This window comes from Homo sapiens, chromosome 20 (assembly GCF_000001405.40).
Source record: "Homo sapiens chromosome 20, GRCh38.p14 Primary Assembly".
Taxonomy (NCBI): domain Eukaryota; kingdom Metazoa; phylum Chordata; class Mammalia; order Primates; family Hominidae; genus Homo; species Homo sapiens.
The window spans coordinates 10,648,406-10,672,533 of record NC_000020.11 but is presented as its reverse complement, the minus strand read 5'-3'; the positions used below and the strand labels follow the sequence as shown (position 1 = coordinate 10,672,533).

The 24,128-nt window shown below is 46.6% G+C and overlaps 1 protein-coding gene and 1 non-coding gene across 2 annotated transcripts in view, besides 3 other annotated features; both read left to right on the top strand.

Annotated features, from left to right (window-relative positions):
- Positions 1-24,128, top strand: part of JAG1 (jagged canonical Notch ligand 1) — a 36,316-nt gene that overhangs the window by 1,466 nt on the left and 10,722 nt on the right. Inside the window, exons 3-12 of the mRNA NM_000214.3 lie at positions 8,520-8,571; positions 13,812-14,066; positions 16,076-16,136; positions 19,936-20,066; positions 20,284-20,403; positions 20,840-20,953; positions 22,174-22,287; positions 22,899-23,012; positions 23,427-23,473; positions 23,812-23,985. Coding sequence (NP_000205.1) covers positions 8,520-8,571; positions 13,812-14,066; positions 16,076-16,136; positions 19,936-20,066; positions 20,284-20,403; positions 20,840-20,953; positions 22,174-22,287; positions 22,899-23,012; positions 23,427-23,473; positions 23,812-23,985 — 1,182 coding nt within the window. The remainder of the gene's footprint in view (positions 1-8,519; positions 8,572-13,811; positions 14,067-16,075; positions 16,137-19,935; positions 20,067-20,283; positions 20,404-20,839; positions 20,954-22,173; positions 22,288-22,898; positions 23,013-23,426; positions 23,474-23,811; positions 23,986-24,128) is intronic.
- Positions 1,743-1,792: a silencer, noted in NCBI's record as "silent region_12674". NCBI's record gives its function as "represses an Ori minimal core promoter by ATAC-STARR-seq in GM12878 lymphoblastoid cells {active_cell/tissue: GM12878}" and the evidence as "EXISTENCE:reporter gene assay evidence [ECO:0000049][PMID:35858748]".
- Positions 1,843-1,892: a silencer, noted in NCBI's record as "silent region_12673". NCBI's record gives its function as "represses an Ori minimal core promoter by ATAC-STARR-seq in GM12878 lymphoblastoid cells {active_cell/tissue: GM12878}" and the evidence as "EXISTENCE:reporter gene assay evidence [ECO:0000049][PMID:35858748]".
- Positions 21,059-21,353: a silencer, noted in NCBI's record as "tiled region #15707; K562 Repressive non-DNase unmatched - State 22:ReprW". NCBI's record gives its function as "represses a minimal TATA promoter and a strong SV40 promoter by Sharpr-MPRA in K562 cells {active_cell/tissue: K562}" and the evidence as "EXISTENCE:reporter gene assay evidence [ECO:0000049][PMID:27701403]".
- On the top strand, positions 22,839-22,898 carry MIR6870 (microRNA 6870). The gene has a single exon (NR_106930.1). It is a non-coding gene; the product is annotated as a microRNA 6870 (primary transcript).

Sequence of the window (24,128 nt, the reverse complement as noted above, 5' to 3'; positions counted from 1 at the left end):
TCTCGGCTGGGGTAGTCGAGGTGGGTCCCATTCCTGCTGCTATTTGCTTAGTGCACAAAAGTGGGGATCCCAGAGGGTTTATGGGACCAGGCTCCTAGGAAGGCCGGTGTAAACTTGCAACTTGAAGTTCCCAGAGTAACTCTCCCGGCCCCAAGCCAAGAGATCGTTGTAGCTGATCTCTTTGCTTAACTAATTAAACCTGGTGCGCCGTGGAAGGCGACTCGGCGCAGTTCTGGCCTGCGAACGCCGTCCAAATTGGCAACCTCCCCTTTCCCGTGAACGGCCGGGAGGGCGGGTGTGTCCTTCCTGGAGGGTGTGGGGGAGTCCGTTTCCCGCTGCTCCCCGGGAGATTTTAGTGTGTGCGGGGGCGCTCTCCAGGTTCGGCTTAAGGGCCGGGGGCGGCCGCCGCAGGAGGAGGTTCTTGGGGCCCTCACAGGAGCTGTAGACCTGGGAACCCCCGCCCGCTGCTGGCCCCTTCCTGCCCCCGCCCCCGAGTGGTGTAGCTCTTGTGGCCTCACTTCCAGCGGTTCCCGGGCTCTGGAACAGCTGTGTTTGCAGACTTCCCCGGGAAGGGCGGGTGCACGGCCCCCGCAAGCCTTCGGGGGCCGTGCCAAGGCTTGGAAGGGGTGGTCTTCTGGAGGTAGTGCCTGAGGGTGTAAGTGATAGGCCCTCATCCCCCCGCCCCATTCCGCCCCCAAAGGAGCTCGAGGCCCGGGCCCAGCTGGCAGATCCTGCAGCGAGGCCCTTGCAACATCCCAAAATGGGTGGAAGGAAGATGGGTGCGATTGCAGAAGGGGAGGAAAGGGAAATGTTGGGGGTGTGCCCTCTGCCTGGCTCCTGCTGTCCAGGAGGCATGACTCATTGCCAAGACTGGGGCTTGGCCTAGCCTGTGCTGGGAGGGTGGGTGGTGAGAGGGGGAGCTCGGTGCCCCAGAGCATTGCTTTCCACCACGTGCTCTAATGGGGTGCACTCTGCTGCCTCCTGTCCGCCGGCTTAGGTTGTGATTCTGGGAGGAGACAGAGGGGAGACTATCTGGCTGTGTCTGTGTATGAAGCTTGGGGTGGCTCTTAAAATCCACGATTACAGGAGCTGGCATTATAAAGTGCCCTCTGCTGTGGGTGAGATAAGACAGTTATCAAAAACTGCCATGAAAAGGGGTTTATAAAAAGAAAAATTAAAACCAACGCTGTCTGTGAAGCTCTCTTGAGGTCCAAGGGCTGTTTCTGTTGTGGGATTTCATTTTTACCAAGAGTATTTATCTTGTTTGTTAATCCCCTATTAGGGAGAACTTTAAGCTAAAGAGTCTGGCTGCGTTTAAATCTGGCTGGCCCAAGCTGACTGTGAATACTCAAACTGCCCTTGAACGTGTGTTTGGAGTTTAGGGGGAAGGGGCCTGCAGGTGGTTCCACCCTCCTGCCGGAGGATCTGTCTGGAGCCCCTCGCTTTTCACAAGACCATAAAAGGAATCTTATTAGTGATGTGGAAAAGCAGCAGCCTGGCTGAGGCTCATTTTGGAGAGTAGGGTCAGAGGGATGGCTAACATGAAAACAAGGAGGCTTGCTCCCTCGCTGGCCAAGGAAAAGTGACCTAGAAAAGTGCGTCTGTCCGCTTTTGACACTTGGTCAGAGTCCTCAATGGAAAACGAGCGGAAATAGTGTGGGAGGGTAGGAGAGGCGATTGATTTGCATTTGCTGGTGCTCTTCTGTGGTTTCAGGCCCCACGGGTCACCAACCATGAAATAGACTCTCGGCTTTTCTCGAATGGGGGAAGACCGATGGGGCACCACTGAAAATGTGGTTCTTTTGAAGTTGGGACAAACGCATGTATCACTCATAAACAAGTCTCCACCCTGATGCCCCAGAAAGGCCTGCTGTGAAACATAAGATTTAATTCTCAAGAGAAATTGGAGTTTAGGTGTATTTGTTTTTCTGTATGTGGTTGGAGAAACGGCACAGTCCGTAACTTTCAAGAATGATTCCAGGCTGAGTAGAAACGTAACTGAAACACTTAAGTAGCTGAGCGAGTATTTAACTAGAGGGCACAGCTTCATTTAGTTTGGCAATTAACTATGTCTTTTAAAACTGATTTCCTTGAATGGGAAATAAATGAACTTAGTACAGAATTCAAGAGATAGCAAGAAAAGGATATATGGTTAAAAACAAAACAAAACTCCAAACCACCTTGGGCTCCCAACCCCTAGCAGGCACAATTACCATTTGCATGAGTCCTCCCAAATTTGCTGACGCTGGGTATCAGCAAAGGGTGCAGGGGTAGGTCAGTGTAGAAGGTCATGTAGTTCATGCTTTTTGTTTGGAATTATGACCCCTATCCAAGCAACTGTTCATGTTCTAGAGAGGACGAGGAGGAAACGATTTGGTCAGATATGAAATACAGTCCATGTTCTGGTGTGCATGTGAAAGGCTTTGTAGAGGTGGCCCTTCCTGTCATATATCATATCTGAGTATGTCCCACGTGGTGTCCCCTGCCCCGGCTCTGGTCTTGGGGTAGTTTTTCACCACTGGCTTCTAATTCTCATACTGTTGCTGCTCTAAGGGGCTTAACTTGCAGCAACTATCTGGATTAATGATTCTCAAATTGGGGGACCAAGTGATAAGAACCATTATTGTGGGAAGTAATTGGGCTTAACAGGAAATAATTTAGGAATTACCACTTATAAATCACTGAAACGGTTAATCTGTACCTCCCAAAATTAGTGCTAAATCCCAGTAGTGCCTGCTTATTAAAAATACATTAGTGTAATTACCACTACTCATCTCCAAAAGCTTTTTGGGAACTTCAGAACCCCAGTTAGCTGTATTGCTGCATCGGTGGCCCCAGAGTGAAATGAATCTAGAGAAACGTTAGGGGAAGAAATTGGGGTATCTGGCTTATTAGCCTCATATTTAAATTCCATTGATCCTATTAAAAGACTTGCTGAGATCAACTTTTTTTTTTTTTTTTTTTTTTTTTTTTTTTTTTTTTTTTTGGAAAATCCAATGAAACGTGATTCTTCTGTGTGAGGGATGCCAGCTTTGGCCCCCTTCATGCTTCAGGCCTGAATGACCAATTGCCACGATGCTAATCACAGAATGTAATTGACAGGCCCTTACTTTTATGCCTTTTGCTGTCTTTTCCAGTCCCTGAGCTTCTGTAGATATGGTGTGGGCACATGGAGGGCTTAAGGATGGGGTTCTGATTTGACCTGCCTCCTTTCTGCAGCCAGGATTTGCATCCTGCCCGTGTAGTCAGCATGTATACAAAGAAAGAGCATGTGTGTACGTATGTGCTCAGAGCAAGGGACTTTCTGCATGTGGAGAAAACGCCTTTTGCCCTAAGAAGTCTACCTCAAACCAAAGGGATGAAGTGATGTATCTGTGTTGCAACACTGGGCTTGGGGGAAAGTGAAGCTGTGCTTGCTTTGAAAGAGCTGTGCTAAGTATCTGCAGAATAGCTGCTCCAAAAATGGAATCTTTATTCCAGGTACTTGGTTTCTAATTTTTTTTTCTCTTGCAGGTGTAACCTTCTGTGTTTTCTTTCTCCTTGTTGTCTTGTTTCTTAGCAACTTATTCAAACCTCCAGTACTTATAGGAATTTGCAACCCACCAGTTCCACACCCGTAATTCTACAGGGACTTAAGATGTTTTTAGAAAACGGTGAAACTTTGGCGTGGAGGCTCTTGGGGGAGTTCAGTGGGTTAAAAGGAGAGTCAGCAGCAACTTACAGGCATGCAACCTCCCAGAAAATCAGCAATCTAAGTGCTGCTCAAAATCTTCACACCAAATAGTGGTGCCTTTGGGGACCTTTTAGATAGAAGACGTGGAAAGTTTAGCATGGAGAAAAAAGTTACTTAAAAAAAAAAAAACAGTGTCAAGGTAACAAGGAGCCTTCACAGTTCCTGATCTGAAAACAGGAATGTGAACCAGAGGCCTTGGCTGGATTCATATCACCCACTGGCCCCATTGTAGAAGGGCCAGAAGTTGGTCCCAATGTCCGGCTTTCAAGGTTAGTGACAATGTAAGAATGCATGATCTCTGGATGTGCATACAATTAGCGTTGTAATCCATAAATGCAAATACTCCTGCAAATTCTTCCATGGTAAACTTCTGTAAGGCATGTTGCTCTTCCACCTACCCCCATCCTTCAAGCCTAGGATCTAGGCTGCTGAGAGAAGTGACTCTTGGCTTCAGCTTTTAAATATATATATATCTCTCAAAACTTAATCTTTTCTTCCAACTGTTGGAAGATACATTGGGATGAATGGAAAGTGGTGATTCTAAAATGGTGGTGGAAATGGAGGAGGGTCCTGGGTTCAGAAAAATCCCACCTTTACTTTGGTGCATGGCACTGGGTGGCTGTGTTGTGACTTCTTTGCTGATTTCTGATTACCGCATGGACCACAGCAGCCCTGTGACTGCTGTTTTTTTTTTTTTTTTTTTTTTTTATGGTGCCAGTGACATCTACCATTGGTGCAGTGCGTGTGCTGGGAAGAAATTCCGCAAGGTGGCTCCCAGTAGTTAAAGGAGTACATAAATAGTCAAACATGCAGAGTCCTCTACCAGCTCAACCCAGTTTTTATGCACTTTTGGTAAATAAACAGAAAGGCTTCTTGTTCAGGCTTGCTCTGTGTGAACCAGACCGTTGTGCTTGGCTGGCTTCTTGGTATTCTATCTATTAACCTCGCCACCCTTTTGTAACTGGTGCATTTAATTATCAGTGGGATGCTTTTCAAACAGGTAAGGGTAATGATGGGAAAGGGGGTGGGGATGTCTCATTGAGAGTCACAAATCTGGATATGAGCTTTGGGGCCCCTTGGTGAGCCTTTGAGTGGGCTTTGATGAGAAAATCACCCTTTGTAACCAGATCGGACTCTATTGACATGTCAAGCCCTACAGACTTGATTGCTTTCTGTGCCTGAAGTCTTAGCCTAGATGCTATAGGATAGTTGTCCTTTCTTATCTCACTTTCCCAAAACCCACTCGCATTGTGTGCATGAGTACGTGTGCATGCGCCACACATGGACTCCCTGCAACCTTTTCTGCTTAATATGTTTTGTGACTGGAATATTTTATACTCTGGCCACCCAGACACAGGCAGGACAATAGAGTTGGCCGAATTGACTGAAATGAGGATTATGGAGAATAATAGGGCCTCTCCAAAAATAATGCTAACACAGGACAAGCGACAGGAAGCAACAGTTGAGTCAGCAGAGCTCAGGGCCCCTGACGAACCCTGGGAGCCGACTGACTGTGCACAATGGCCGCGTTGGCACGTCGGGCATTCCCAGGATGTGCGTGCCGCCGGCGGGCCTGCCTGTCGCAGCAGCCTGGGGTTTTGGACGCCGCACGCGTGCCGTTTGGATGGCGGTTTATTTGTGTCCGTCAGCTTGGCAGGAGGGGAGGCAGCCGCTTCTCAGGGCTTGGTTTGGCTGTCACTGTTGCCAGGAAAAGGAAGCTCCCGGCTGCCAACACAATTACCTTTGTTTCTTACATCCCCCCTTCTTAATGTGGCAATTAAGTGCTTACCGCTCTGCCCAGTGCCAAGGTAACCGCCATGGAGTGGGACAGGGCAGAGAACACAACCTTGGCACAGCAGCCTAAGTGTGGAGGGCGGGAGGAGGTGCAGGGGCCCCAGCCTTGCTGGGAACCTGGTGGCCCTTGGATGCCTTGGGGCTTTGATGCCAGGACTCTCCTCTAGGTAGAATTCCACAGAAATCTTCCAAAAAGCAATTCCGAAGGCTGACCATTCCTCTTTGATGCCACACCAGAATGGGAACCAGCTGCCAGGTTTCCAGATTTCCTTGGGCTTGGAGCTGGGAAGGGGCTGAAGTGACTCACTTTGCAAATCCAGACTAAAGATCTGTTTGCTACCCCTCCTTCCTGTGTGGCCTTCACAGTACTGTTCTGGAAAACATAAGGAAAGATGAAAGCCAGGTGACTCTTCGGCAGAGTCTTAGTTCTGTAGTCTGAAATCAAGAAAAACCCAGGTATTTGCTTTTGTTGTTGTTGTTTTGCTGTATAAACTTAAGTTTGAACACTTGCCTTTCCAAGCCCTCCTGGGATGGAGGACTCCGCCTCTACTGGGGGTCAGAGTTGCAGTGGCTGCTTGTATGTGACTTCGGCATAGTGGATTTGCTGCTCTGTGGCCTGGTCCCTGCTTTGATGTGGGGTGCATGATCTGGGATCTCAGTGCCTGGGTGTATGTTCAGGGATGTACAGAGGTCAAGTGTGGGCCTGGGAAAAATTAAAGTTCTCTAGCAACTAATAATCATTGTTAAATTATCTTGATTGCTGATCTATAGTGTGGGGATGGAGTGGGAGGTTGAGTGCCTCCTAATAGGAACCTTGGAGGGAATCCTTTTTCTCTGTAGGGCTGGGCAGGAGGAATCCTCCTGCCCCAGGAGACCCTAATCCCCTCCCTGAAACAGACAGGAAAAAAAGTCCAGGCTTTGTTGCCGTCACTGTAGCTCCCTGCCCTCACCCTGTCTCTGCCTCTGAGAAAGAAGGGCAGTTCATGGAAAATCACAGAGCCAGGCACGTAGGGCTGTGTGCAATTCTTTTCTCTCCAGGTGGGGTGATGTCGGTCAGCAACTTCTGAGGTTTTCCCAGTTCTGGCGAGGATGAGCCTGGTAGACTGCTTGGTCGTCCAAGTTCTTGTGCAAGACCTAAGGATGCTTTCCTCTTTGAGTATTAAACTGAGTTAGTACTGCCATGCCAGCTCAGTCCCGGCACCTTCCCTTGCAGTGGGGTTTGTGGGTATTATGTGTTTAGCGCTTGTGCAAGTCTGTCAAAACTCCTGGTATCAATGCATTTAATCAGAGGATTAATTACAACAATACTGTTGAAGTGGAGGACGTGGGCCTCAACGTGACCAGCAAATGAAGGGCTTAATTATACAGAATCAGCCACACATCTGGCCTCATTTTGACTGTGCTCTTACCTCAAATCAGTAGAGAAATATAATTTCTTGCTGCTCTTAGGGAAGAGTCCTGTAATTTGCAGGAAGTCCTAAGAAACTTAAAGAGGCAGTAAATAAGGTATAACTTTCGCTAATAAAATAGTAACAACAGCAATGAATTTGGACCTGTGGCCACTAACAGGAGAGGGCTGGGTATGTGCCCTGGCTTGCCCGGTTTTGCTTGCTTTTCTGAGCATTTTCCCACAGTTATCAGTGAACGAAATGGAATCCTACTCTGCTTTGAGTATGAAACATATTTCGGCTGAATTCCAAGGCAGGGTCTATCACAAGATATTTTTATATTCAGAGATGACCTGCTGTGTCACTCTGAGAGCGCTAAGCTGGCCTTGAGTTATGAATGAAACTCCCTTTTACCCTCCCTTTTTCTCTTTTTCCTTTATCTTATAGGTGCTTTCTCTTCTCTTGGCAGCAGTGTGCTTCTGGTGGCACAGCACGGTATTATTTAATCTATACACGCTTCTATTTCCTATGGCTTGGTTTCTGACACAGCAAAGCAGGGATTCATAACCTAGTTCATGTTCCTTGTCTACCCCACCTGCCTTGAGTACATTTCTTCAGTGCCAAGATAGCAGAAGCTTCATTTAAACGCTGGTGTTTTGTGAGACTGACCTTACTGTAAATTACGAAGGAAAATTTTAGAAAAGGAGGGAATTTGCTAATAGCTTAGGTTTGGCTGGGGGTGGGGAGGTGGAATTCTGAGATAAGCTTGGAAGATAAAAGGTGCCTTCAGTTTAACAGCTGGCATCTTGCCAGTATCCAGGGAATTTGTTTAGTTAGTAGACTCTGATTATTCTTGGAATGTTAGATCTTATTAACAGATAAGTTCATCAATAAATATAACCCATGGGTGTGCGGTTGTTTCTCCCTTTGTACTTTCTTCCCTGGGATCTGCCCCCAACTCCACCGCCCAAGTGAGGTTGACTTCTTTGTCTTGCAGAGTCACTTTGCATCTACCCCCTCCTGTTTCCTAGAGTTACCCGATACTTGTGGGAGCCAGGATGGTCTCACATAGACAGAGTTTTCAAAGGGGTTCTAAAAAGGAAAAGGGGGCCTCCCTAGAGACTGCCTCACCAGGGCCCAAAGTGTAACCTTAGCAATACCCCCTCGGTACAAATACCTGGTTAGGTTAGCTTAGAATAAATTCTTTGTGTGTGTGTGTGTGTGTGTGTGTGTGTGTGTGTGTGTTTCCTCATGCACTAGGGTCAGGGTCTGGAAAGTTTTGGGAAACTATATGCTAAATACTCTCATATCATATAGTGAGGTGGCATTTCCTGATCTCAACTTTGAGCTGCCTGCATGCATGTTGACTCCAGTGCGTCCCTGCCAGGTGAAAGGAGTCATTTGTCAACCTGGGAAGAGTGCTGACAAAGGAAGGGGAGTTGGTTTGGATTTAAACATCCAGGAACTCAATGCAACAACCAACAGAATTTTTATTTTGGCATTATGGTTTTGTTTGGTGGGGTATTCTGGGAGGCCAAGAATGTACGAGATTTTGGAAAGTCGACCCTGTTTCTGAATTGCTAAATTGTTTGTTTGTCTTGCAGAGGTCCTATACGTTGCTTGTGGAGGCGTGGGATTCCAGTAATGACACCGTTCGTAAGTATCGCTTCTGTGGACTTTTCTCTAAACACACGTGGAAGTGTGGGGCTTGGCCAACCAGTTGGAGCTGGATCTGTCTCCTTAGTACTTAGCATTTCTGCCACCTCTTGCCTTCTGTTCTCCCCTGTACCCCAGGGTGAACCTTCAGTGGAATGTATTCCTTAACTTTTCTAGGATTTTTGCTTGGAATATTAAGTGGCCAGAACAGAATCCCAGTTAACTCATTCCCTGATTATGAAACCTAGATTATCTTCGGGATAGAGATCTTAATGGTTTTACAACTTTAAAACCTTGTAGTCTGCTAAAGGATCAAAGTAGTGACTTTTTAAAAGTCCATTTAAACTTTAAGTGAGTGTTTAATCTCTCATCAGAAAGATAAAGCCATAAAGGTGGTGCTGGGCTCTAGAGACCGACCTTGAATTTCACTTGGTGGGCAGGTGAGCTTCTAGTCTCTCCGGGTTTCCCACACTGCTCCACAAACCTTTCATTGAAGCGCAATTCCAGAGCTTCACAGCCATTACCTGCCTTGTCCCTTTCTGAAAGATGGCTCTGTTTTCAGTGCAGGTTGCCTTTCAGGACTGAGGGGTTGGTTTTGGTGGATAAGCCATGGAGGATGTGATTGAAATGACATAGTCTGGCTTACAAAGTAGTCTTGCTCTTTAATTGTAACTTTACAGTGTTTTCGCTCACGAGCCGAAACTTCAAGTTCCCTTTTTGCCAGCAGAGTTTGGGTTGCGGTCGCTGGAAAACTTGATGCTCACTGAAATCTCTTGGTCTGTGCATGAGGAAGAGTGGATCCAGCTTCTTGTCTTGGCTCTCTGTTCTCTGAATGCCTTGTACTTTTTGCTTTTCTATCTTACCATTTTTTTTTGTTTGCTTTCACTGTGAATAATATATTTTCATCTTTCCTTGCCTTGCTTTTTTTTGCTGACAGAAAATGGTGAATGCACACCGTGGGTGCAGTGAGGGCTTGGTGCCTGCTACGTGGGCAGCTTCCACCTGTGGCTGGCTTATTGGGCTACTTGGAGCCACAGAATCATTGCTGAGCTCCGATGTGCCAGAGAGTCCCAGGCCATTTGGGTCACTCTTCTAGCTTGGGAATCTTAAGTCCAGCTTTTTGGATGTCATCCTCCCTGGAGGGGGAGCTCATGAAAGTCCAAGGTTCGAGTCTTCCTCCCCAGAGGGCTACCCTGTAATGCCGTGGGGGGGTGTGTGTGGGGGTGGCAGGGAAGCTCTGTCAGCCTTGGCTATGGCTGATGCCAGTCAGGGTCATAGACACCTGTTTGTTCTCCCCTCCCTGCCACAAACGTTGAGGACTGTGAACATTATGTCACTGTGACCTGCTTACAATGGTAACTAAGCGTTAGGCAGAAGGGGTTGAGGAGGGGGGAGACATAGGCTCTTCTGTAATAGTATGGTGTCGACATGGTGTTCTTTCCCCTCCCTTTTAGCTATTGAAACAATCCACCCGGTAGAGTGAACAGCTTGAGGTTGATCCTGGCCTGTGATAAGAGCCAGGTCAGTATACTTGTTAGGGACATGTGAGAGACCTCCCCGCCACACTGCAGCATTCACAGCACCTTTCCTGGACCTCCTGTCACCTCGCAGGTCAGGGAGTTATGTCCCCTGGGAACCCAGGGCTTGTCCAGAGCTACCCACAGTTGTCTGCATTTCCAGGTAGCCCGATTTTGGGGTTCTAGGATGTTTCATCTCCTGGGGGGGTAATCAAATCCCTGGAAGAGGACAAGAAAGACTGAGGTAGGAATAAAGTTCTTTTAAACCTCAAGGGTGCCCATTGCAGGTTATCAAAACTCACTTGGTGAACCCTGAAGAGGGAGATGGGTTTGGTGGAAATGGTTTCTCCACTTGCCTATTTGGCCTCTTTTATGATGCTTCCAAGGAATCTTGAATTCAGCACAGTCAAAACCAAACTCAGGATCTTCTCTTGCCAAAAGCAGTCCCTTCCCAGGGCCCCTTCTGGGTGTCTGGCACCGATATTTGAACACTCATTGCCATAAGCCAGAAATATAGAAGGCGATCTGTGTACCCCCTCTCTGTTAGCATCCATACCTAGTCCACCTCCAAGTTCTGAAAAATCTCTCCAGCTCTTCACTTGAATCTGCCTGCCTTCTGCCACTGCCCTGGTCCAAGTCACCATCTGCTCATGACTGAACTTAGAGTAGCCTTCGTCTGGTCCACCTTTATCTGCTCTGACTCACCTCTAGTGCTTTCTCCATTCTTCTGCCATCCTGGTCTTTTCAGAGCCATAACATTTGCTTGTCACCCTTATTATGAAAAACCAACCACTTGGTGGCCTTCTGTTGCTCTTGGGACAGATCTTCATGTGGCCCACAAGGCTCTGTGCAGCCCAGCTTTGTCTCCCTGCCAGCCTTGTCTTACACACCGTGTTGTCCATCGTATCTGTAGCCTGGCCATACCCTAGCAGTTGCCTTCCTATCCTCAACTACATCACATGCTTTCTGGCCTCAGGACCTTTGCACATGCTGTTTATGCTACTTGGAGTGTTTTGTTCCTTTCTTCACCCTCAGCCACTCCCTCTGGACTGCACTCCACAGGGCAGAAGCTGAGGATGTTCAGAAGCCCAAACGGAGTTGGCTGCCCTGTGGGACCCAAGCGAGTTGTAAACATTCTGGCTTCAGATGTAAATCAAAGGCAGAGCCCTGAGTTTTAGGGCAGAGAATTCCTTCTATCAGCTCTGCAGTGAGCCCTCACAGGCAGACTCGGGCCCAAATATAGCCTAGGTGCTGTTTATGTATTTGAAAGTATTTAAGGCTGGTCCTTCTGTCATCGGTCCTCCAAAGTCTTTTATTACATTTTGGGACTGTGGTATATAGAGTTCCAAATTTCTTTCTCCCCTAGAGCAAATGGTTTCAGTTTACTGTAATGCATAATAAACATGTAAACATAAATAGGCACACTTCAGACCAGGTTTTCCCTGTAGCTTAGCTTTCTCGGCTAAGGCCCCCTTCCAGGTTTTTGGGTCGGTGTGGTCCCAGGTTATGCTCAGACTCGCCCTTCATCACCTCCTCCTTGGCCTGCGAGGCGGTCATGGCTTCTTCGTGACTCATCTTCGTGGCACTGGGGATTGCAGGGAGGCATGGTGATGTCCTTTTCCAGTCACAAGGCTGGACTGCCAAACGAACTGCCACAGATTCCTTTCCAGTGCCCCAAGCTGAAGGAAAGCGTGATCAGGAAGCAGGCAGCAGACGTATTTGAACCCAGACATGCTCGACCCCCTCCCTGAGCAGGTGTGAAATTATGTATGCAGCTCCATAGCTCCACTGAGGATTCTGAAGTGATCCTCTGCACGACACTTCCCGGAAATAAGTGGAAAGCTTACTGCATGACTGAAAAGTACATATCAGTCCTGCACCCCTAGGATTGCCCTGGACTCTTGTCTAAACTGTTTGTTGTTGATACCAGCCTCAGAAGCTGGATGCCTTTAAGCCATGGCTAGTGTGTTTAACCGATCCCTTTTATGAAGATCTTGTAAGCGCGTGGTAATAGCCCACTATGCTTTTTAACTGAACCAGCAGAGCAAACATAGTTAATGGAGAGACATTTTTGTCATTCCTTGGCCTCTGTTTATTTGCAAAAACGAGTAAAGTGTTACCTGCCTGCAAGTGGTTCAGTGCGTGCCGGGGTGTCAGGCTGCAGGTATGTGAGCTTGTTCAAGGCTTGTCTTGCCCACGCAGCAGTTTGAGAGCCCTAGAGGGCGAACGCTGGGGCCCTGTTGGAAGCGGTGTGTGGATGAAGCCACCCAGGAGTCCCTTCTCTCCTGGTCACTTATAGGGCTTGCATCACTTTTTAAAGGAGCACTGGCCCGAGGCCTAGAAAAACAGCCATGTGGGTGGGTAAGAATCACAAAGACATTGCAAGTCAGTCCTAACTGTCTCTCCAAGATGGTCTTGAATTTGACAAGGTGATGAAGAGTTGGTGCTGGCAGGTTTAAGAAAACAAACACAAAACCAGGTTGGGGTGCTGATTTAGTGCCTTGCTGCCTTTTCAGATCCCTCCCCTGAACTGCTGGCACCTGATGTTTGAGCTATTTTTGTACCTGTCTCTTCTCAAACTAGATGATAAGTGGCCTCAGGGCAGGGACTACATACTCCTGAGAGCTGCTTGAGCTCGAGGTGTTTATTATCCTCAGTAAGCATTTTTTTTCAGGAGCATGACTTGGCTCAAAAAAACAAAAAGAAAAAAGAAACCCTCCCCTCAATTTACCTGTGTCTAAACTTTGGTGAATTATTCTCCCATCTGCCTTCTGGGCAGAGGAGAAAGGTGGAATGCATCAAGTTCAAGGTCTTGGTATTTAAGAGCTGGCTTTAAAGGTTGCCATGTTAACAATTGTAAAAAAAAAAAAAAAAAAAAAAAAAAAAGTAACTTAATCGTCTCCTTGGCTTCCAGTTAAGAGTTTTGAAATGGACAAAAAGCTTTTCTGAGCAAGACATAAAACCCTAAAACCAGAAATGATTGCTGACCTTTATCTGGAATAATGAAATTTCTTCAAGAGCAACATTCCATAGGGAGCTACTGTCTCTCATATGTAAAGAGCACTTGCAAGTCAGTATGGCAATGTAATAGAAAAGTTGGCAGAGAAGAGAAGCTGTTGCTGTTCACAGGAACAAATATAAATGGTTTTGTAACTACCAGAAAGGGCTCTTGCCATCACTTAGTTAAATGCTAATTAAATGAGATACCTCTTTACCTATCAGGCATAGATTAGAAGGTTTGATAATGTACAACGTTGGCAGTGTTATTGGGAAACACAGCTTCCTGGGTGGTGGGAGGACAGACTGGTAGTTTGAGACTGTGGACAGAGGTTGATTTGTTGTGCACGGACTCTGATTCAGCACTTCCATTTCTAGAGTATCTCATTGTGGGAACCATACACAGGCAGATACGTTCAAGGAATGCTCACTGTGGCTTTGTTTAATAGTAAGAAGCCCAAACGACTCACATGCACACATGTCAGGGACTAGGTAAATTATTTATTGGTGTTTCCAGACAATGAAATACTGTGTACCCATTAAAGAAGGTAAACAAGTGGTAACAGGTTGTCTCTGGGTAGGGGCATAAACTTTTCATTTCTTTGCCTTTTTTACAACAGATAGAATTTTGTAGCAGGTGCATATGTTTTTATTTTAAAAAGCCAAAATGGTCAGGGAAGAAGGCTGCAATGTGAATATTAACATGATTCATCACTTTGTCTCTAGAACCTGACAGTATTATTGAAAAGGCTTCTCACTCGGGCATGATCAACCCCAGCCGGCAGTGGCAGACGCTGAAGCAGAACACGGGCGTTGCCCACTTTGAGTATCAGATCCGCGTGACCTGTGATGACTACTACTATGGCTTTGGCTGCAATAAGTTCTGCCGCCCCAGAGATGACTTCTTTGGACACTATGCCTGTGACCAGAATGGCAACAAAACTTGCATGGAAGGCTGGATGGGCCCCGAATGTAACAGAGGTATGTGTGTGTGTGTGCATGTGCACGTGTGCCTGTTGCTTTTAGTGTCCATTTATCACCCCACCAGCAGGCAGGTGGCATGCGGCTATCTCAGGTGGGGTGGGATTTTGGCTGTTATTCTGGGCCTGCAGTATGAAGATGCGGAGTGTAGAAGATGCTGTTGGTGCCCCATCCAGATCCCCTTTACTGGCATCCCCATCCCCCAGGTGCTGTGTTGGCTGCCAACAGCTCACAGCTGCTCCTTCTCAGGAGACTCGTCCTTGGCCAAACCAGTGCATGCCCCATTCCTCCAGCTCACAGTCAGTGATTGACAGACATAGGGCTACAAAGCCCAGCTTCCTTTGCCTTAAAACAGTAGTACAATTTGCACTCTAGAGCTTACCCTGGGATTAGGCTGAAATCAGACTCCAGTTGAGACCATGTTCTTGCTCAGCTCTTTCCCCTACCCCATCTGCTTCCCTCAATTCCTTCTACCTATGTCCAGATCCCCTTCTCAGACTCTGCTTCTAAGGAACTTGACCCAAAATAGATCCAGACAGGACTAGGTCAGCCCAGTTGTTGTCTGAACAGGCTATCCTATAGGAAATGATAGCCCCTGCATTCAGGGTAGCCTTGCAGCAAGTTTTCACTAGGTGTCTTTGGGGGCATGGCTTTGATGGGGAGAGGTATGTGGTTAGCTCAAGCTTTCCTATTGGTGTAGGAGTGGGCCCACTTTTAGTCTCTGTGCTGTCTACTGTCCCAGTCCCTTTATAGAATTCAGTGATTCCAATTCATAGCAACTTGATGGGTAATTCTGTTAACTGTATAATATCCCCTCATGAGCAATAATGTACTCTGCTTATTTTACATGATAATTAGGTAAATTGTTTTGATAGACTCAATTTCAAAGTGAGTTTTTCAACCATGAGAGAGGGGTGGGTCATGGGGGAAGGAATTTACAGCTCTCCCGGGTAGTACTACTGCTTTCTTAAATAATTGGAGAGAAGAGTTTAAAAAGGATGGCATTTCTGGAATTCAAATGAAAAGGGGAATTCATTAACATATTTTAGTGTGTTTTAAAAATTAAACGACCTAACACTTAGTGTGGGTTTTTTGTTTGGTGTTTTTTTTTTTTTTTAAGATAAGGTGCTCACTTTGTCACCCATGATGGCACAATCATGGCTCACTGGAGCCTTGAACTCCTGGGTTCAAGTGATCCTCCTGCCTCAGCCTCCCAAGTAGCTGGGACTATAGGCACATGCCACCACACCCAGCTTTTTTATTTTGTGTAGACATAGTCTTGCTATGTTGTTGAGGCTGGTCTCGAACTCCTGGCCTCAAGCTATCCTTCTGCCTCAATCTCCCAAAGTGTTGGGATTATAGGCATGGGCCACTGTTGCCTGGTCTTAGAAACTGACATTTTTTAGAAGTTACTTTTTTCTTTTTTTTAAACGAAGTAGAGAATTGCTCTGCAAGGATACTTTATAAAAGTCTCACCAGATCTGGCCACCAGATTAGCCTGCCCAATGAGTCCAGCCTGGCTGGCTCTGTTAGTCCCATGGAATTTTCAAACCAGGCATTTGGTATGGGTTGTTTTTTTTTTTTTTTTTTTTTTTAAAGGCTGAGGCTCATCTGAATGTGTCCTGGTGGGATGGGGAAGGATTATCTATACCTTTTTTTCTTCTAATGAAAAGGGTGTGGGCAGAATGGAAACTGACCAAGCTCTGCTCAAGGAGCCAGGGTAGCTGTGGTTTAGAGAGGCTGGACGAAGGTCCCCCTTCCCTCGTCAACTTGTCTGCATTTTGTCCCCAAACAATATCATGTTTTCAGAATCTGCTAACAAGGCCTTGAAGTTTAAAGCTGGTTTTGTTATTTGGGCCCCTCCCATCTTCCTCTCCTTACAAGGGACTTGATATGAGACCTGTTAAAATCGTGGAATTTGCAGACTTTAATGCAATGGGCCATTCTCATGACCGGGGCGATGCAAGGAACAGGCAGTGTGCTGACACGCCCTTCTCTGTTTTTTACAGCTATTTGCCGACAAGGCTGCAGTCCTAAGCATGGGTCTTGCAAACTCCCAGGTGACTGCAGGTAAATCAACTGGTCTTTTGTGAGATTTCTTTTAATTTTCCTTTATGTAAGAGAGGAACTGACTTTATTGTGACTATGCCTCTTTTTTCCTTGGAGAACAAGAAAGCTTTTTTAAAAAAAAAATTCAGATAGACACATCCGAAGCTTATTAAATTATACCAGCTGTCTGGTGGAATGCACACACCACTTCTCTCTTGGAATAAAAAGAAACTCTTTGGGCATAGCCAGTGACTTCATGTATTAACTGTTCTGTAAATTGATAACACATTTTTATAATCTTCCCTTATAGTGCTGATGGGCTAGATGGAGGGATGTGGGCTTGTTTCTTTGCGTCTCTCTCCTCTTCCACCAAGGCTTTCTTCTCCCAGCCCCCTCCCCGACTTTTCCCATCAATAGGCGAAAGTCCAGCATTCTTTAGAATGGGATTAGTCCAATCTCCTGGCCCCTTTGCAGGCGGGAGCTGGGTTGGTGCTGAGAGGTTAATGGCTGCCCTGGAATCTTGTCAGTTGAGCCTGATGAATGTAGACTTTTGCTGCAGTCCTTTGAAGTCTGTTCCTTTATGGTCCAGGAACAATGCGGAAGCCAAAGGGAGGCCTGCCCTGACCACTTCACGATGGCGGGTTTTGGAACTTCTTGAAATTTATATTACGCCCGTTTGGAAAAGGCTTATTTTGGGAAATATTGTTGGTGTCTGTGGTGTTTTTGGCAGTCTTAATGCTTTGCTCTCCCTCCTCCCAAATTTTAAGGAGTAACGCTAAATGGATCCTTTGAGCCTGTCACTTTTGCCCCCAAAGCTACTCTGACATGAGTAAAGGGAATCTTATGAAACATAGTCTAAACCAGTATGTCCCAAACTAATGTTATTTGGGGCTCTTATTAAAACGCAGGTCCTGATTCTATAGGTCTGGGCTGAGCCCAGGTTTCTGCATTTCTAACAAGCTCCCAAGCGATGCTGCTGATGGAACCATCAGCAATCACTGCCCCCAGACCTCAGTACTCAAAGTGTAACTTCCAGAATTAACAAGGGAGCTGTTAAAATGCAGGTTCGTGGGCTCCGTCCCACATCCATAGAATCCTAGTCCTTGGTTTGGCCCAGGAGTCTGCATTTGACAAGCTGGCCACATGACTTTGCTGCTTAGTAAATTTTGAGGCTACTCCTTTAAAGAGAACTATCTGTGGCCTTTACCTTTATGATTCCACCGCTCCGTCTGTTCCCCTCCCATGCAAGGGGGAACATGGAACTAAATTAAGAACTGGTTGTCCCGAATTGTCTCTTCCTACACTTCAGAAAGATAGTTTATTTCCTGGAAGGCTGAGGGGCTTCTCCTGCTGTCTCCCATTGGTGGCGATGGACTGTAGTATTTAACAGCATTGCTGTCCAATGCGGAGCAGGAATCCACCTACCTTAACTCTTCCTAATTAAGGGTGTTCTGGAGAAAGTCCCAATGGCAGTGCTATTAGTGATTCCAAGCCTGCTGCCTGCTCAGATGGATATCAGCGGAGGCCGACTGTGATTTGTGCTGCTGTCATCAGAACACACATACAGCTATACAGGGGAGGGCCCTCCCAGCCAGAACAACAGGCTTTGTTTCCAGAATTTAGCCCTTTCTCTTTCGAAGTCCCACCTCCCTCTCCCTGCCCAGACACGCACTGATGGCCTTATTTACTTAAGGTGCGACTTTCCCACACATCATTTGCATAGTCTCCCAGCCCAGTTTTCCCTCCCTACCTTGAAAGAAAGTCAAAACAGAACCTTCACGCTGAGGAAGTTCAGGTTGTGTCCTGCTGCAGAAATAGTTGAATGGCAAGTTACCTGCAAGTTGTCTTTTGGATTATGTATTACACAGGTTATTTTTTTTTTCACCCCCACATGAGAAAATTTACTGGTTTTTGTTGTTCCCAAGTAGACTGAGTCCCTTTCCCTGGGTATACATGCTTGCTTATTGCAAGCCTGCCAATAATATCAAACTTAATTATGAATCATCATCTGAGGAAAGTCACTTCAATTTCTCATGAGAATCTTAATCATATATTATTAAACTGGGATAACTTGGTTGGTGCCTCTTTTAGGGTCAGTATTTTTATTTGTTTTCTTTTGAAGTCATCCATGGCCTCTTGTGGTTGCTTTTTTATGCTTGGGGATTGAGGTCTCTTTAATTAGGTGAGGTTGGGTCCTCAGCTGCCTCTCCTTGCCTTTATGAGGCAACTTGAAGAGGGCTAGTGATCCTGAATTTGGAAGAGAATAAGGGAAGACGGTGAGAATATTGCCATTTCGTAATCAGTTCCCTCTTACTATCTTTCAGGCTAAGAATATCAGCCTTGACAGAATGGCTACACCCTTACCTCCCACTAACGTGGGTGTCCGCTTTTGAGAAATTATTTAGATTGTAATTTTGTTCTTATCTTACTCCTTTAGTCACTTGTCACGTTGACATTCCATTTTACATAAACCAGAATCCAGTGTCTAACTTTAAACCACACATTCTAGTGATTTCTTTGCATGTGGGTGTGCATAGCTTGGTTTCAGAAGTTAGGAAGTGGTTAGTCAGTATTCTCAGGGGTTAAGTTGACTCTCAGCCGTGGGTGATTAGCTATTAGCTAGATCCCTATAATTTTCCCATGACAAGGATTTGCTAGCCTGCCTCCCGCTCTTGGGAAACCGAAAGCCTTTCCTTCTGGGGAGCTAGAGGGGGCGGGGGTTGTTTTCCAGAGTTACAGCTGAGCAGCTTAGGGGGTTGGCGCTGATCGTGGCTTTTCCCAGGTCCCGTTCTGGAAACATGTTGCCCATCCCACCCGCACCCCACCCTCCACCCTCCACCCTCCACGCTCCACCGGGAGGCTAGTTGATGTTTCTCCCTGCCTTCCCCCACCCTTGTTAAAGCTTGGCTCTTGAGAAGGCAATTAAAGTTTCAGAGGGCTTGAAAATTCAAGGGAGAGTGGTTTGAGACGCTGCCCCCTCTCCCACCCCAGATGAAAGTTGTTGTATTTGTTTTTGTTTTTGCTTGGGGATCAGAGGCACTATTTGGCCCCAAAAGAGTATGATTAATCAAGGTGCTTATATAAAAGAACCTCAACTCCGCCAATACTAGATAAATTAAGCAGACTGCTTTCTTTTTTTTTTCTTTTCTTGGCAAAGCAAGAAATCACTATAAATTAGCACACAGTAATGGGACACAAATTATGGAGTTGGTTCCAAGTGTTGTCATTTCCTTCTCCTTCCCTATAGAAGTGGGTTTAGAGAGCCTACTCTGGCTTTGGCCAAGGGAGGGTGCCCCTTTCTCTCCTTGTTTTTTTAAATAAAGCGTCATCGTGAGGCAGTTTCCTGCTGCACTTGGTGGCTTGTTGCATTTCTGTGCACTGGGGTCATGACTTTCTGTGCAGACAAAGAGCAGAGTGGCAAGTGCAGCGTCTGCAGAGACTTTGGCATAGCTCTCTTGTCACCGAGAGAGTCCTTTCCTCTATAGTCTGTCGCAACTAGGTGCACGGGTTGATTTATTCCATGCCTTCACCTTTGGCTCACTCGTGTGAGCCTGAGAAGAGAGTGGCTTTGTGAAGGGCATCCCCATGCTGGCCTCTTCCCAAACAGCCCTCCTTTTGTCAGGAGTCGGCTGGGAGGGGACCTCAGCTCAACTGTGAAAATGTTTGTTTATACGGAGCCCCTGATGAGCCTTGGGAGTCTACCTTCCTGTCCCCAGAAACAAAACAGAAAAAGCCTGGACTTTGCAGTCTTCCATTTGAATTGTACAGGTGTCTCTTAACGTTCAAAAGGCTAACCTGGAGGTGTGCTGTGTGTCTCCAGGTGCCAGTACGGCTGGCAAGGCCTGTACTGTGATAAGTGCATCCCACACCCGGGATGCGTCCACGGCATCTGTAATGAGCCCTGGCAGTGCCTCTGTGAGACCAACTGGGGCGGCCAGCTCTGTGACAAAGGTATGGCCCTTAGGGATGAGACCCAGGGTGGGATCTGGGGGTGGGATGGCACTAATTTGGTTTCTAATTTTATTGGCAGGGGCTTTTATTCTGAATTCTCCTTGAATGCTGTGTGGGTTTTCTGGTTTTTCTTTTTAAAAGACGACTGGGGCTAGAAACATGGTGGGTTCGCCATCTTCACAGGCGTCTCTTAGTGACTCCAGGATCTTTTTGGCAGATCTCAATTACTGTGGGACTCATCAGCCGTGTCTCAACGGGGGAACTTGTAGCAACACAGGCCCTGACAAATATCAGTGTTCCTGCCCTGAGGGGTATTCAGGACCCAACTGTGAAATTGGTAAGTGGTCCAAGATGAATGAGAGCCCTTTGTCTAATTTTTCTGTACTCAGCTTTTAAAAAATATACTTAAGGACTTGTTTAAGGAAAAAAAAGTGAAAATAGCTTCCAAAGATAGGCCTTATCCCAACCATTCTATAAGCCTTTGTAACTTTCAAGTCTCTAAAGTTTTTTGGGTGATGCTGATTCGTATAGGAGGCAGCGGGAGATGAAATGACCCCAGCTCTGAGATGTCTTGGAATGTGGTTAGAGACAGCTCAGCGAGAAAGATGACTTCCTTTCTTTCCTAGACACAGCAGGGTTCTATCACACGCTTGCTTTTGGTTTTTGAAATATGCTTGCACTAGTGGCTGTGGTGTGGGATTCGGTTGGAGGGGGGTGTGGGGAGGTAACGGTGTGCAGGCATCCCTCTCTGACTGCCATCCTGGTTTTTGCAGCTGAGCACGCCTGCCTCTCTGATCCCTGTCACAACAGAGGCAGCTGTAAGGAGACCTCCCTGGGCTTTGAGTGTGAGTGTTCCCCAGGCTGGACCGGCCCCACATGCTCTACAAGTAAGTCCAATTTTCAGCCTGTGTCCATTCTAAGGATCCTTGTGCCAAGATACCACGCTGGGGAGAGGTACCTAGGCTTGTCCAGTGTGAATGTCTCGGTGAGAGAGGGGCGGGTGCAGGCCTAAGTCTGGTAAGCAGTCTGGTGGCTTGTGTGTTTGGAAGTCTCCCAGCACCCCCATCCTGTCCCACTAAGGTAGCGCATGTATCTGTTCTTGGAAGGAACGTCCTCGTGGAATCGCTTGTTCCTTTGCATCTGCTTCCTGGAGCTGGCCACCTTCCAATTGTGGTTATTCTTCTTGCAGCCATGGAGAGGCTGCCTTCAGGGGAGGTTGTCACTTACTACTGGATTCTGTCATAGGGCCAGGGGGCCCCAGAGAAGAACCTGGCCTGCAGAGTTCCTTTGGCTGTGAGACAGGGCTGTATATCAGAATCACCTGGGCTGCTTTACAGTGTAAATCTCTGGGTCCCCCAGATTCCCTCCAGAATCGGGGAGTCCATGGTCTTTGATAAACTTCTGGAATTCTGCAGTGCAGCCAGGTCTGAGAACCGCTGTCATCAGCACCCCAGGTGTGGTTATGGATGTGGATTTCTGGGGTCAGATTGCCTGTGCTGGTCCTAGGCCCCCACCTGTCACTTGCGGAACTCCAGCAGGCCACAGAAGCTCCCCGGGCCCTCTTTAAATGGCACAGTAGCAATTCCCATCTCCGAGGTTGTCATAAAGACACAAAAGTGAATACTTCATAAATTGTTAGGAGTTGTCTCTGGTCAGAGCAGAAGTGGAGAATGCAGCCTCTAGGTGTGCTATTTTGGGCAAACTCTGTAAGCAAATGAGAGGAATAAGGTTTTCCACCTGTAAAGAACTATTTTTCCTGACTTCTTAGCTACTTCTGAGCCATGATGAAACTTTTCTTTAAAAATAAAGATTAGGCAGATAGAGATGTCCTGTGTTCCTCCTGGGCGGATGCTCCGTCAGTATCCAGCTGTCTTTCTCCCCCACTGCTTAGGTTGGGGATTACATGAACTGGGGCAGTGGGGGATTTAAAGCTAAAATCAAGGCTTCGGCCTTATCGTCACCGTCCCACTTGTCCTGCTGTAGCTTTCCTTGTAGCAGGTGTCTGGCTCTTCAATGACAGCCCCTCATGTAAGAGGTGATGTTAAAGGATCTAATTGTCAGATGGATTGAATTAAATTGTCAACCCCCTCCTTTTCTTGTTGACCAGACATTGATGACTGTTCTCCTAATAACTGTTCCCACGGGGGCACCTGCCAGGACCTGGTTAACGGATTTAAGTGTGTGTGCCCCCCACAGTGGACTGGGAAAACGTGCCAGTTAGGTAAGAACATCCCTGTGACTGTAATTTTTATACCAAGGTTGGCTTTGATTGTCAAAGCCATTACAGAAGACGAGCGTGTGGCCGGCAGTGTGAGTTCACACTCCATCATGCTAAGAAGTAATTTATTATCAAGAGTCTAGCAGGCCTGGGAGAAATAACTTGAATGCAAATGGACTAGCTCTTTTAGGCCCTGTGGGAAAGTCGTGGGATTCCTTGAACCATGTCAATCGTCTGTCCGAGGAGTGTTCAGCTGGGTTCCAAAAGGGGATGATCTCATGAGGAATGAGCTGTCTGCATTCTTTTTGCCACATTTAAATCCCAGCAACTAGGCTGCCTGGGTTTTGCACAGAAATGCCTGGTGGCTTTCTGCTGTTTTGTTGGGGGCTGGTTAACTAGCAGCTGGAAAGTTATCAATTAGGGTTCTTATTGGATAATAGCTAGGGAGAGGGATCAGATGCTTAAAATAGAGGGAACCTCTAGTATCTTTTATTTAGCTAGCTTATTAAAATGTCTCATGTCTCAGACAAACTCTGGCCTGTTCTTTTTTTTTCCAAGGTGGGGGAGATGGGGGTTGAACTTCATTTCTCATGCTCATCCCCATCTCCTTTCAGATGCAAATGAATGTGAGGCCAAACCTTGTGTAAACGCCAAATCCTGTAAGAATCTCATTGCCAGCTACTACTGCGACTGTCTTCCCGGCTGGATGGGTCAGAATTGTGACATAAGTGAGTGACTTTGTTTCCATTTTGATTTTCATGAAACTTGGGTAGCCGACTTGCTGGTCCGTACTGGGGCTCCAGTCCTAGGACTTGAGCAGTAGAAGGAAAACCTTAGAGTGGGAATGGTTTTTTGAGAGGGAGTGGTCAGGGCAGCAGTGAAAACATACACTTTATCAGGCTCATTAGCTGCGAAAACCAGCCATATTCTGATAATGTGGCTGAAACAATGATGTGAAGTTTCACTCCCTCATTCTGGAAGAATTAGGGAGGGTCCCCACCCAGCGTAATAACCTTATCTCACGGAAAGCACACAGGAAATCTGATTTGAAACTTATCTATCCTGAGCTGAGAAGGCTTTTCAATTAAGCCCAATTTCACTGTAAATTACCTCTTTAAAATGATGACTTATTTATTTTTTAGATATTAATGACTGCCTTGGCCAGTGTCAGAATGACGCCTCCTGTCGGGTATGTAAATCTTTGCTTAAATCAAAACTTTGACAATTGACAACAAATCTTTAGATTTGTGCGACACTAGGAGAGCTCTGTCCCTGTGAGATTTAAAAATTTGGGTGAAAAAAGAGTCTCTTGGAAGTTTCGCTAGGGCTTATGTTACCCCAGCCTCGTGGGAGTCATTTTGAAGGCATGCACATAGAAATTCCTCTAACCACTTTCAGAGGTTTAGCATTTGGCTATTTCAGTGAACCAGCTAAACCGCAACAGTCATGCTAAACCGCTGAAGCCCTGTGTTTGTGGAATACATAGAAAAAAAGCATGTGTCTCTCTCTCCCCTTCTCCTCTTCTAGGATTTGGTTAATGGTTATCGCTGTATCTGTCCACCTGGCTATGCAGGCGATCACTGTGAGAGAGACATCGATGAATGTGCCAGCAACCCCTGTTTGAATGGGGGTCACTGTCAGAATGAAATCAACAGATTCCAGTGTCTGTGTCCCACTGGTTTCTCTGGAAACCTCTGTCAGGTGAGTGGTGGCAAAACCTCAGATGGCCAAGTTTTTAGAGCAGAGCCGCTGCCTCCTCCGCTTCCCTTTACTTTTCCCTCAGCTCTTGTGTCTGGAATTTCCTAACATCTATTAACATCCTATTGATGAGAGAGTCTCTGCTA